The 13,614-nt window shown below is 44.5% G+C and overlaps 1 annotated feature.

Annotated features, from left to right (window-relative positions):
• Window positions 2,168-2,368: a silencer, noted in NCBI's record as "peak1117 fragment used in MPRA reporter construct". NCBI's record gives its function as "represses an SCP1 promoter by STARR-seq MPRAs in K562 erythroleukemia cells {active_cell/tissue: K562}" and the evidence as "EXISTENCE:reporter gene assay evidence [ECO:0000049][PMID:32103011]".

The following is a 13,614-nucleotide window of genomic DNA, read 5'->3' as shown; positions in this document are numbered from 1 at the left end:
CCTTATTTGGAAATAGGGTCATTGCAGATGTAAGTAGTTAAGACACTAGAGTGGGCCTTAATCTAATATGACTAGTGTCCTCATAAAAAAAGGGGAAATTTGGGGCCGGGGTGTGGTGGCTCATGCCTGTAATCCCAGCACTTTGGGATGCTGAGGCGGGTGGATCACCTGAGGTCAAGAGTTCGAGACCAGCCTGACCAACATGGTGGAACCCCGTCTCTACTAAAAATACAAAAAATTAGCTGGGTGTGGTGGAGGACGCCTGTAATCCCAGCAACTCTGGAGGTTGGGGCAGGAGAATTGCTTGAACCTGGGAGGCAGAGGTTGCAGTGAGCTGAGATCACGCCATTGCATTTCAGCCTGGGTGACAAGAATAAGACTCCATCTCAAAAAAAAAGGTGGGGGGCGGGGAAATTTAGACACAGAGACATGCACACAGGAAGAACACCATGTGAAGATGAAGGCAAAATCCAGAAAGTTCACTTCTTCCTCATTCCTGGCAAACCATCCCCTCGACCTCTTTTCTCCTACCCCTCTCTCATCCCTGGTTACCCTGGTTTTGAGCTTGAAACTGACCCAATAGTCTTATAGACAGTACTTTGAGCTAAACATAGAAATTGACCCTTCTGTTTTTTTAAAGCTGGAAACTTACACTTGTTTTATTTGAGTTCCTTCCTTAGGAAAGGACCCTCAGGTCTCTCAAAAAGTATCGAAAAACTGAAACTCACCGGGTTACTGCATCCTGACTGTCAGACACCAGACTCCTCATTTTTGTCCTTTACCCCTCCCGAGTTCCTGTTTTCCCACACATTGTTGCATTTCTTCCCTGCTATAAACCCCTAATTTTAGCCTGTCAGGGAAATGGATTTGAGACAAATCTCCCATCTCTTTGGCTGCAGCACCTGATAAAGCCTTCTTCTTTGGCAAAAATCATTGTCTCGGTCATTGGCTTTCTGTGCAGTGAGCAGCAGGACCTAGACTGAACCCCTGAAACTTTGGTAACAAGATTAGAGTGACACCTCTGCAAGCCAAGGAATGCCACAGATTGCCAGTATGCCACCAGAAGTCAGGAGAAAGGCATGGAACAGGTTCTCTCTCACAGCCCTCAGAAGGAACCAACACCTTGATCTCTGACTACTGGCCTCCCAAACTGTGAGCCAGCAAAGCTTCATTTATATTTTACAGCCACTCCCCATCCCTCGCATTACTGCTTGAGCTCTGCTTCCTGTCAGATCAGTGGTGGCATTAGATTATTTATTTGTGATTTTGTTTGCAAATACAATTCTCACAGAAGCATTAGATACTCACAGGAGTGCAAACCCTATTGTGAATTTTGCCTGCAAGGGATCTAGGTTGTGTGCTCCTTAGGAGAATCTAATGCCTGATGATCTGTCACTGTCTCCCATGACCCCAGATGGGACTATGTAGTTGCAGGGAAATGATCTCAGGGCTCCCACTGATTCTACATTATGGTGAGTTGTATAATTATTTCATTATATATTGGAATGTAATAATAATAGAAATAAAATACACAATAAATGTAATGCGCTTGAATCATCCTGAAACCATCTTCCTTGCCCCCAGTCTGTGGAAAAGTGGTCTTCCACAAAACTGGTCCCTTGTGTCATAAAGGTTGGGGACTGCTGGTTTAAACCACCCAGTTTGCAATATTTTGTTATAGGAGTGTGTCCGGAATTGGTGGGTTCTTGGTCTCACTGACTTCAAGAATGAAGCCGTGGACCATCACAGTGAGTGTTAACAGTTCTTAAAGGTGGTGTGTCCGGAGTTTGTTCCTTCTGATGTTCAGATGTGTTCGGAGTTTCTTCCTTCTGGTGGGTTCGTGGTCTCGCCGGCTCAGGAGTGAAGCTGCGGACCTTCGCAGTGAGTGTTACAGCTCTTAAGGCGGCATGTCTGGAGTTGTTTGTTCCTCCCAGTGGGTTCGTGGTCTTGCTGGCTTCAGGAGTGAAGCTGCAGACCTTCGTGGTGAGTGTTACAGCTCATAAAGGCAATGTGGACCCAAAGAGTGGGCAGCAGCAAGATTTATTCCAAAGAGAGAAAGAACAAAGCTTCCACACCGTGGAAGGGGACCTGAGTGTTGCCACTGCTGGCTTGGGCAGCCTGCTTTTATTCTCTTATCTGGCCCCACCCACATCCTGCTGATTGGTAGAGCCCAGTGGTCTGTTTTGACAGGGCGCTGATTGGTGCGTTTACAATCCCTGAGCTAGACACAAAGGTTTTCAACCTCCCCACCAGATTAGCTAGATACAGGGTGTGGACACAAAGGTTCTCCAAGTTCCCTCCAGAGTAGCTAGATACAGAGTGTCAATTGGCGCATTCACAAACCCTGAGCTAGACACAGGGTGCTGATTGGTGTGTTTACAAACCTTGAGCTAGATACAGAGTGCCGATTGGTGTATTTACAATCCCTGAGCTAGACACAAAGGTTCTCCACCTCCCCACCAGACTCAGGAGCCCAGCTGGCCTCACCCAGTGGATCCCGCACTGGGGCTGCAGGTGGAGCTGCCTGCCAGTCCTGCGCTGTGCGCCCACACTCCTCAGCCCTTGGGTGGTCGATGGGACTGGGCACGGTGGAGCAGGGGGCGGTGTTCGTCTGGGAGGCTTCAGCCGCACAGGAGCCCACGGAGCCATGGGGACGCTCAGGCATGGCGGGCTGCAGGTCCCGAGCCCTGCCCCACGGGAAGGCAGCTAAGGCCCGGCGAGAAATTGAGCACAGCAGCTACTGGCCCAGGTGCTAAGCCCCTCACTGCCCGGGCCGGTGGGGCCTCCCCGCAGCTCCGAGTCCAGGGTCCGCTGAGCCCACACCCACCCGGAACTCGCGTTGGCCCGCAAGCACCGCGCACAGCCCCAGTTCCCGCCCACGCCTCTCCCTCCACACCTCCCCGCAAGCTGAGGGAGCCGGCTTTGGCCAGCCCAGAAAGGGGCTCCCACAGTGCAGCGGTGGGCTAAAGGGCTCTTCAAGTGCCGCCAAGTGGGAGCCCAGGCAGAGGAGGCGCCAGAGCGAACGAGGGCTGTGAGGACTGCCAGCAGGCTGTCACCTCTCAGTAGTTACAGCAAAAATTATACCTTCTCTCTCTCTCTCTTTTTTTTTGTATGATGGGTAACATGTTATGGGTACATTTTTGCTTTTTGCTTTTTTCTACTTGACAGTATGTCCTGGAAATCATTCTGTATATAGAGATCTTTAAAAAAAATAGCTGCATAGTACTCCACTGTATGGATGTACCGTGGTTTATCCAGCTACTCTTTTGTGTATAAACATTTAGGTTGTTCCCAATATTTTGTAATTACGAAACATGCTGCAATAAATGATCTCATGCATATGTACTTTCAGATTGTTGAAAGTATCTGTCTTTAAGGTAGCTTTCTAGAAGTGGGATTGCTGGGTAGAAAGGTAAATGTCTATGTTGCTTTAATAGGAATTGCCAAATTTCTCTCCAGGTGGGTTGTACGAATTTGTACTCCCACCAGAAATGTACAAGGAGGCCTCTTTCCCCACAGCCTGACCAAAAGGATATGTTGTCATAATTAGAAAGTTTTGTCAGTCTGATAAGTGAGAAATGGTGCCTAAGAATGTTTTAACTTGAATTTTTCTAATTATAGGTGAGTTTGAACATTTTAAAAATTTGTTCGAGGGTCAGTGTTAGAACTGTATGTGCCTGAATTGTCCATGGTTTTTCTTTCCCTTTTTTTTTTCCTATTGGATTCTAGACCTTTGCCCACAAATTCAAAGAGGTCTTCATATATGAGCAATATTAGTCCTTTGTCCATGGTATATTTTGTGAATATTTTCTCCCAGTTTGTCAGTTGACTTTACATAACAAACATACCCTAAACAATTTTTTAAACTTTTAGTATCCAACTCTGTGAAGCTTTTATTTTATTGCCTCTTGATTGGAAGCATAGGTAGAAAGCTTTTCCCCTTACCAAGATTAGCCCTGTTTAACCTCGGTTTAGATTTCCAGATAGGCCATCAACAGTCTGGATTAGGTCATTGACTAGGAAATGGATTGTACCTCTCACTGTTTCATGGGATTCATGCAGTGGTCTGGCCAGCCAGGTGAAGCACACACCCAGTTGTTTATAACCAAATTTTACGACAATCTCCTATTTGCATACCCAGTGCACAACTGCATATGATCCACAATTGCTCACTCAAGAGGCTCCAACACGTTGCATGACACCCCAAGGGAGCACAATTACTTGAATTAAAAGGCACCTTTGGATTTTGATGTTAGAACATGTTCCTAGAGAGTGGATAAATGTGTTCTCTTCCATGCAGATGAGAAACTGAGGCAAAGGGAAGATTAGTTGACTTGAAACGGAGAATACAAGGATTTTTTTTTTAAACTTTTAGTCTTTAAGTCTGGGTTCATAACTCTAAGAATATAGGTTGGGCTTTCCTTAATAAAAAAAAAAAAGGAATTTGATCTTGGCACTTGAAAGCCAGTGTTCTTTAAAGCCCGTTTCAATCCTCTAACCATTTTCTGCTTCCTCCTTCATCAAATTAGGGAACCCAGGCAGAGTTTCAGTGATTATATTGAGTGCATTAGGTCATTTGTGCAGTTCATTCAGCCATCCTTATCAGGACTCACTATCTTGCAGGCAATTTTGTTTTAAACTGATGCATGCGCCTCATTCTCATCCAGTAAAAATCTCTAGGGATGGAGCCCAGATATCAATATTAAACAACTGCCACCAAAACTTCCCAGATGATTCTCATGTTCCCAGATTCTAATATGCCTACAGATCACACAGGGATCCTGCCAACATGCAGATTAAACCTCGATAGGTCTAGGGAAAGACTTGAGATTCTGCTTGTCTAACAGGCTTTCAATGGAGGCAGGTGCTGCTGGTCCATATACTGCACTTTGAGCAGCAAGGCTAGACGTAGACCATACTGCAAAGCAAGTTCATGGATGTGTTTGTTGAATGGCTTCAGTTGTTAGGACTGACAGAGTGGTTGACTTGAGGTGAGAGGACCTGTTCCCTGGAGCCATGCCTTTTTCACTGTGTGTGTGTGTGTGTGTGTGTGTGTGTGTGTGTGTGTGTATGTGTTGAGACAGAGTCTCGCTTTGTTGCCCAGGCTGGAGTGCAATGGCGTGATTTCAGCTCACTGCAGCCTCTGCCTCCTGGGTTCAAGTGATTCTCTTGCCTCAGCCTCCTGAGTAGCTGGGATTACAGGTGTGCACCACCACACCTGGCTAATTTTTTTTGTATCTTTAATAGAGATGGGGTTTCACCATGTTGGCCAGGCTGATCTTGAACTCCTGACCTCATGATCTGCCCGCCTCGGCCTCCCAAAGTGCTTGGATTACAGGCATGAGCCACTGCGCCCAGCCTTTCACTGTGTTTTATTTTATTTTGTATTTCAAAAGCTGAGGAAGGCCTTGCCCATGAGGTCTGGTGCTATGGCACAAATCCTTGAAATCCAGCTCCATAGCAAGGTGTAGCTCAACTGTGTAATACACACTGGTGCTTCAGCATGTGCTTTTCAGGAATGATAGATACCCTGTTCCCTTTTGTCTCTCTCTGCAGAATGTGCCCTGTGATGAGCCATGTAATTGCAGTTGGAAGGTACCTTAAGTTATCCAGCCCACCGAACAGAGCACAAGCTTAGACCCTCTGCAACACCCTCCATCCCCCTCATCAGCAACAAAAACAATGGAGGTTTCAACATGAAACAAACCTGGGGCTGCCCTGTTTGATTTTTCAGGATAACCCAATGGCAGCCCCTTCAAACAGCCTGGGAGCTGTTCTGCTAGTTTTGATCCAAGGGGTGATTAGTGGTTAATGGGCCCTGAAAGACATCTTTCTTTATTACTGTTGCAGATCACTGTTGTCTTGATATTGATCTTTTCCAATTTTCTGTTTTATCCTTTGAAATGCTCAGAACACAGCCTGGCAACGCATCGCCTGCAGCATTCACTTTGTTTAAAACTCATTTCCTTTTGCAATTAATGCAGGGTATATTTCATTGTTGTTATTTCGTTTGCTTTTCTTTTAGGTCAGAGGCCTGAAATAAATGAGAACGTGTCATTTTAAAGGCAGGTGGCAGATAGATGAGAACTTAGTTTGAAAATAGGTTCAAAACTTCTTGATAAGATATCAGTACCAGGCTCAACCAGTATATTTACCAAGAAGTTGTCCTTCTTGATGTGGCAACACAGGAGAAAAAAAAAAGAAATGTCAGATTTGGGAGCTTTAGAAAGTTGATGTAACCAACCAGGTGAATGATAATTTTGTTGATGGGAATGTCTATAATCTAAAGTATATTTAGGAGGTCTGTATTTATGTTCAGACAGGATGAGGTAAGTAATGTCATAGTTTGTTCAATGGATAGTGTTCATACCTTTGATCGCTTTGCTTGCCTTGAGGCACCCACTGTTACTACTTATGCACTTTGAATGTGCTGGGAGCTGACAGAGGGGTGAATGAGAGGTCCCTGGGTTCTGGGGACGCAAGGTGTAGGGCAGGAGCCCCCTGGTTAAGAAAGGAAGCCACGTGTCAGAAGTGGGGGAGGTTCTGAGGTTAGATCACAGGCAGCTGCATAAAATCAAAACATGACAGAGCTCAATGTCTTTGCAACAGGACCTGCGCAGCCCATGATGACTCCGGCACCAGAATACATGGCCTGTCTTCCATTTATTTACACTCCAGCTAGAGAAGTTGTCTTGTGTTTGGGGCCATGCTGTTCCAAAGGTACATGTGTTGGAACTCTAGAATTATTCCCAGAGAGGGAAGGTGCCCACAGGACAAGGGTATGGGAGTGGCAGATGCGTGCGCGTCTCCCCTAATGCTCCCTCTGAGGCCTGTTTGCAGCAATTGAACTGGCAGGAGGAATTTCCTGCAATATTTCATTGTTCTTTTTCTCCTGAGTGAGTATACGTACATTTTGTTTGTTGCCCAGAGGGAGAGGTAAGTTATTTGACTTCTGTTGTGATTCTGCTGCAAAGCCAGGCAGGCTTTGTAGATACACAAAGAAAGGTGTACCCAAAGGGTTAGGAGAGTTTAGGGAAGGGGGAGGAGAGATTCAGCCCCACCAGAAGGGGTTGGGGCAAGTCTTTTTGAGACAGTGAGCATGGGGATTGGGCCTTGGAGGACAAGTATGGCTTGGACAGGTAGTGTGTGGGGAACTTGAGAACCAGGTGGAACAGCTTGAGAAGAGGCACCAAGGATGCTAAAGCTAGGCTCTGGGAAGTGGACACAGAAAGTATGGGTGCATGCAGAAGATGACACCGTGTGACTTTCCAAAGGCCTTTCTGCCATCTTGGGCAGTTTCCACTTTACTCCAGAGGCTGTATTAGAGTGAGGACACAGAATGATGGGATTCTGTTGGAGCGGGAGAGATGAGGTGGGCTGTGACTTGTGAGGCTGCCGTGGTGCACAATAGAATAGAATGGATACCGTGGGTGTTCAAAACAGTGTATTCAATATTATATCATTTGATATTTGAAAACCTCCCCCCAGAATAGATTATTTTAATTATATGAACAACAGGAAGTAAAATGCTTATGCCCTTTTGGGGCTGGGAGAGGGAAAGGGGGAGGAGCATGTCCTCCTGGCTGGGCAAAAAGGCTCTGCTGACGGAAGGGGGCTAAGTTTGAGATCAGAGAGAGGACCAGAGAGAAACACTGTGTGGCTGTACCAGAGACTCCAGTGGGGCTGAAGAAGAATGCAGAGAGATGGCCACTGCCTATGCAGCTGATGAGTTTGCACCCTAGTTCTGTTTGGTGGAGAGTTCTTAACCTGTATTTGTGTCATGGACCCCCTTAGCAGCCTCAGAATAATATTCTTAAGTGCATGAAATAAAGTGCATAAGGTGACATGAGAAACTGATTCTATCCAAACAAAATTACCGAAAAAAATTAAAAGCACAATATGTGGGGCCTGGCGCGGTGGCTCACGCCTGTAATCTCAGCACTTTGGGAGGCTGAGGTGGGCGGATTGCCTGAGGTCAGGAGTTCAAGACCAGCCTGGCCAACATGGTGAAACCCTGTCTCTGCTAAAAATATATAAAAAAATTAGCCGGGCGTGGTGGTACACGCCTGTAATCCCAGCTACTCGGGAGGCCGAGGCAGGAGAAATCACTTGAACCCGGGAAGCAGAGTTTGCAGTGAGCAGAGATCGGGCCACTCTGCATTCCAGCCTAGGCGGCAGAGTGAGACTTCATCTAAAAAAAACCAAACAAACCACAATATATGTCATTTTATTGAAGACATTAAATAAGAGCAACTCATTCATGTAATTTTGGAATAGTGATGAGTACAAATGAAATGTGGATATTTGCAACAACTATCATGTAATATGAAGTAATTTAGATAGCTAATCTTACTAATATTGTGGTTTGCTGCTTATTTTCATAATGCAGGAGATGCCAATTTTCTGTTAGGCATTAGGGAAGATACAGATGTAATATTTTTGTCATCCAAGTTCATGGACCCTCTGAATTCTGTGAACTCAGGTTAAGGTCCCCTGGAATCCCTTAGCCAATCCATGCCTTTTCCTAGACTTTGGAGGTTGGGAACAGGGACAGAAAAACAGAGTGGTCAGTCATCCCTGCTGACGGCATTACTCAGATAAATCAAGAACAGTACTCAGACTCTTCTGGTCCATTATAAATCATGGGAAGAAGGATTCAGCAGAAGTTTGTGTGGGAGTGAGGGGAGGACCTGAGGGAGAAAGCTCTAGGTGACAAAGGAACTAGAGTTTAGGTAACTCATGGCAACCCCGTAGACCCTAATGGCTGTGGGACAAGAAGATGAGTAGGTATGCCCTAATGCACGTAAAGCACGCTGTAAGGCATATGCATTTATTATAAAGCTTCTCATAACATTTGCTGTGGAGAAATAGTATTGGTGAAGCGTTGCATCTCTAGATTTTTGAGATGTCATTGAAATATCGTTCGATGACAATATTCTCATTTAGAACCTCACCCACAGTCTATTTTGGGTGAAAAAACATTGTCCACAGCTTGAATGTAGTTAAAGTTTCTCCCGCTTAATAACCTGGCACTTCATTAAGGATATGAGAATATGTCAAGAAGACACTAGTTTTAAAAGTGTTTAGACTATAAAACTGTAATCTCTGCTGTTATGACAGGCGACCGTGGTTACCAGAGCCCTTTTCTGTTGACACAGGATGGTCCTATGAGGCCTTATTCCAAGTGAGAATGATAATGGTCATTTCCTTGATAACCTGGGCACCAAACACAGTAGAGCCTGGGGCGACTTTAACTGTTTTCTTAGGAGAGAATTTCAAGTGGGCCACATGGTTGGGCCATGAAATCAGACTCATTTTACTTTGTTTTTTCTGACAGCTTGAAGCTCAGCACAAGGTAGTGACGTTTAAACGTGAATTTGCTGGAATTCAAAGGCTATCTGAAAGTATTGCGACTATGACTAAAGATGTCAGGATATAGTGTGAGGAAAATGTGTCACGGTGCTTACAAATAATTGTATTTACCCCCTTTTGGTCTGGAGAGGAGATGGCATGAAAGATCCATGTGCGTTGGTGCTGCATCTTAGCAGACAGCCTCATAAATCAGACTCTTCCTATGGCTGTTGTCTAGCCCTTGAAAACAGAGCCCCAAACGATACTAAATTGTAACTGTCTTGTGCAGAAATTGCAAGTTCTTTGTGAACCGCACCCTTTCTATTGTGTTCTCCCTCCTCTTTGAGAGTCTAAAGAGCAGAATTACTGGCATTCTTGTTAAGAACCAGCTGGGACCTAAATTGTTGAGCTGGATGCTGCTTTCAGTGGTTGTCTGCAGGATTTCGTGATGAAACTTTCAAAGTTCCTGCGCCCTGAGATAGTTGAGTATTTGCTTCCTGACGTGGCTGCAACAAATTTCCACAAACTTGGTGGCTTAACACAATATAATTTTATGTCTCACGGTTTTGGAAAAGACCAGAAGTCTGAAATTAGGGCGTTGGCAGGGTTGGTTCTTTCTGGAGGATCTGAGAGAGAATCCATTCCTGGCCTCCCTCGTGGGATTCTGGTGTTTTTTGGCTTGTGGCAACTTAACTCCAACCTCTGCGTCCACCATCATGTCATTCTTTACGTGGCCTTCTCCCCTGTGTCTGTGTGGGACAATCTCCCTCTCCTTTTACTTATAGGGACACTAGTGTCTGGATTTAGGACTCACCTAAATCTAGGATGATCTTATCTAGAGATCCTTAATTAGAGCTGTAAAGACTGATTTCCAAGTAATGTCATATTCATAGGTACCAGGGGTTACTAGGGGTTAGGTCTTGAACATATTTTGGTGTGGGGGGGATACCATTGAACCCACTTATAAGCATCCCACAAAGAAGAGGCAGTAAGGTATGGGGCAAGGAGCATGGATTTGGAATTAGAGCAACCGATTTGAATCCTAGCTCTGCCACTGTGAGGCTCTGTGAATTATTTACCCTTCCCAGCTACCGTGTTTTCATCTATGACTCTAAGATAGGAGGCTGAACCTATAGGTTTCTGTATGATTAAGGAAGAAGAGGTAAAGCATGCACCTAGTACAGAGCCTGGGACATAAGGGAGCCCAATAAATGGTAGCTAGTCTTACTGTTTTCAAGGCCAGATACAGTGTGGGGCAGCCAGGGTTTGGTCTTCTCTGTCCTCACGTGAAGGTTACTGTGTTTTGACTTGATATGGCTACGATTTGGGTGTGTCCAGTAGGTTATAAAATGGAACCACTTCGTGTCACCTGGATGAGGAGACTCCTCCCCTCTCTGTTATTGCTGTCCCTTCTGGTGCCTTAGGGGTGGAGTTGACCTCGATCCTGCTCTGTCCTCGGCCACAGCAGTGCCTGAGGCTTGTGCTGATCTAGACCTAAGTCTGGAGATGGTCAGACGCATGTGCGCGCGTGCACGCACACACACACACACACACACACACGCACGCAGAGAACATGTACTCTAAGTTACGGGCAGGAAGATACAGGTCAGTGTCAGTATGCTAAAACTCAAATCATCAGTTTTGGCCAACTTTCTATAGTACCCTCATGGTAAAATACTAAAGTTCCAGTCAACAGTTTAACCTATTTAATTATAGCTCAGGGTGGATGGAAGGGATGAGTGATTTTGTAGTTAACATCCTGAGAGGATCAATGAGATTTTGCCAGCATTACCAGCAGTGGCACCTGGACAAATGATTTAACTTCTCTATACCTCAGTTTCCCCATCCCTGATAGAGGGACAACCTTCCCCATCTGATATGTGGCTTACATGGTTAATGAAGGTAAAAAGCACTGGGTTAAGGCCTGGCACATAGCAAGGGCTCTCCATGTGCCAGTGAATGTTGTTAATGTTGCTGTTACCATGATTATTCTTCCGGGTGTCAGGACCATGGAGATCTTTGCATCTTTGGAGGGAGGATTTCTTTACTTTGGTTTTAAAAAGTGAAACCGAAAGGACATCTAGGTTTTGTGTTTTTTCAAATGCCTTTCCCATGAGCCACTTATTTTGTGGGCTGAGCATCTTCAGAATTGATGATGGGGCTTTCTAGATTAGATTCCAGGGAGAGGGGATAGACTGGGGTAAATAGGATAATTGTGAAATTTGGGGCTGAGGTGAGTAGGCAAGTAGAAATTATAATCAGTAGAGCTATTCCTTTTGCTTTAGAATGTAAGACAGCAGCATTTAACTTTTAAAACTGGGCTTTAGTTTAAGCTTTAAAACACACAAACTTTATTATTCTTTTCAACAGAAATAAGAGCACAGAAAACAACAAAACAGTCACCTACATACCAACATCAAAAGTAATCATGATCAACTTTGGGAGGCAGAGGCGGGTGGATCACCTGAGGTTAGGAGTTCGAGACCAGCCTGGCTAACATGACGAAACCCTGTCTCTACTAAAAATAAAAAAAATTAGCCGGGTGTGGTGGTGGGTGCCTGTAATCATAGCTACTTAGGGGGCTGAGGCAGGAGAATCACTTGAGCCCAGGAGGTGGAGGGTGCAGTGAGCCAAGATCACCAAGGTCACGCCACTGCACTCCAGCCTGGGCAACAAGAGTGAAACTCTATCTCAAAAAAGAAGAAAAAGGCCAGGCGTGGTGGCTCACACCCGTAATCCCAGCACTTTGGGAGGCCGAGGAAGGCGGATCATGAAATCAGGAGGTCGAGACCATCCAGGCTAAGACAGTGAAACCCCATCTCTACTAAAAATACAAAAAATTAGCCGGGTGTGGTGGCACGAGCCTGTAATCCCAGCTACTTGGGAGGCTGAGGCAGGAGAATCGCTTGAACCAGGGAGGCAGAGGTTGCAGTGAGCTGAGATTGTACCATTGCACTCCAGCCTGGGCGACAGAGCAAGATTCTGTCTCAAAAAAAAAAAAAAGAAAAAAAGTAATCATGATCAAATTAGTTTCTGATCCCATTAAAGGAAATAAACAACATACTACAGATATAGCTGAAGTTCAATCCTTTATCTACCCTTTCACAGTCAACATGCTATGTCAATACCAGGTAGTTCTTTAACTATTAATATTATCACTATTATTCACCTCCAGGCTACAGTTCTACCTCTTGGACTTGATATACATCATTCTTGTGTATGTTTCTAACTGTAAGTGTCTATGTATCCATAAGCAATAAGTATTCATGTGCTTTTCAACTTTACATGGATGATGTTGCTATATATAAGTCTAGTTCATTCATTTTACTTGCTAAATGGAATTCTATGATATGGCTAAAATATAGTGCATATTTACCCATATACCTCCTAAGCCCCGTAATCCAAAATCCAATTGGTATGACTTTTGAATGTTTTCTTATTTATTGCTAAGATGCTAAATACCCCCACATGCTTTGTTAAATTCTTCCAGTGTTTGAGGTACAGCTTGGTTTTGTTTTCCTTTGCTTAGAGCTGTGATGAGCAGCTTTGTACACTGCACGTGGTGGTGCATGTGTGTGAAAGTGTCTATAGAAGCGGGATACTTGGAGCGTGGGATGCACAAGGGAGAACATCTTCAACTTCATTAGGTGTTGACAAGTTGTCCTTTAAAGTAGTTTTGTCATGTTTCTGCCTTTAGACCAACAGTGTGGTGGCATTCAAAAACAACCTTACAACCTGGGCAATATAGTGAGACCCTGTCTCTAAAAAAATAAAAATTAAAAAAAAAAAAAATTAGCCAGGTTTAAGTAGTGCATGCCTGTAATGCCTGTAGTTCCAGCTGCTTGGGAGGCTGAGGCAGGAGAATCGCCTGAGCCTGGGAGGTAAAGGCTGCAGTGAACCATGATCGCACCACTGCACTCCAGCTTGGGTGACAGAGCGAGACCCTATGTCAAAAACCAAAAACAACCTTAAATATTTTTGTGAAATGAGTTGGTGAGACAAGCATTTAGCAAAATTTGAACAGAAACATTACAAATCTCACATTTTTGAATTTCAAATAACATCTGAACTTACTGCCAAATGTAATATATGCCCCTAGTTTTATACCATAGCTTTAATTTTGCTAGGCTTATAATAGAAACCTCCAAATTAGTATGAGTTTTTGAATGTGTTTTTCATTTCTTGCTAAAATGCTAAATACCCCACATACTTTATTAAATTCTTCCAGTGTTTGACTTCAAAGAGAGAAGTGCTTCGTATTAA

The sequence above is a fragment of the Homo sapiens genome, chromosome 10 (genome assembly GCF_000001405.40).
Source record: "Homo sapiens chromosome 10, GRCh38.p14 Primary Assembly".
Classification (NCBI taxonomy): domain Eukaryota; kingdom Metazoa; phylum Chordata; class Mammalia; order Primates; family Hominidae; genus Homo; species Homo sapiens.
The sequence above is the reverse complement of the archived record's forward strand: the minus strand, read 5'-3'. Positions and strand labels throughout refer to the sequence as shown.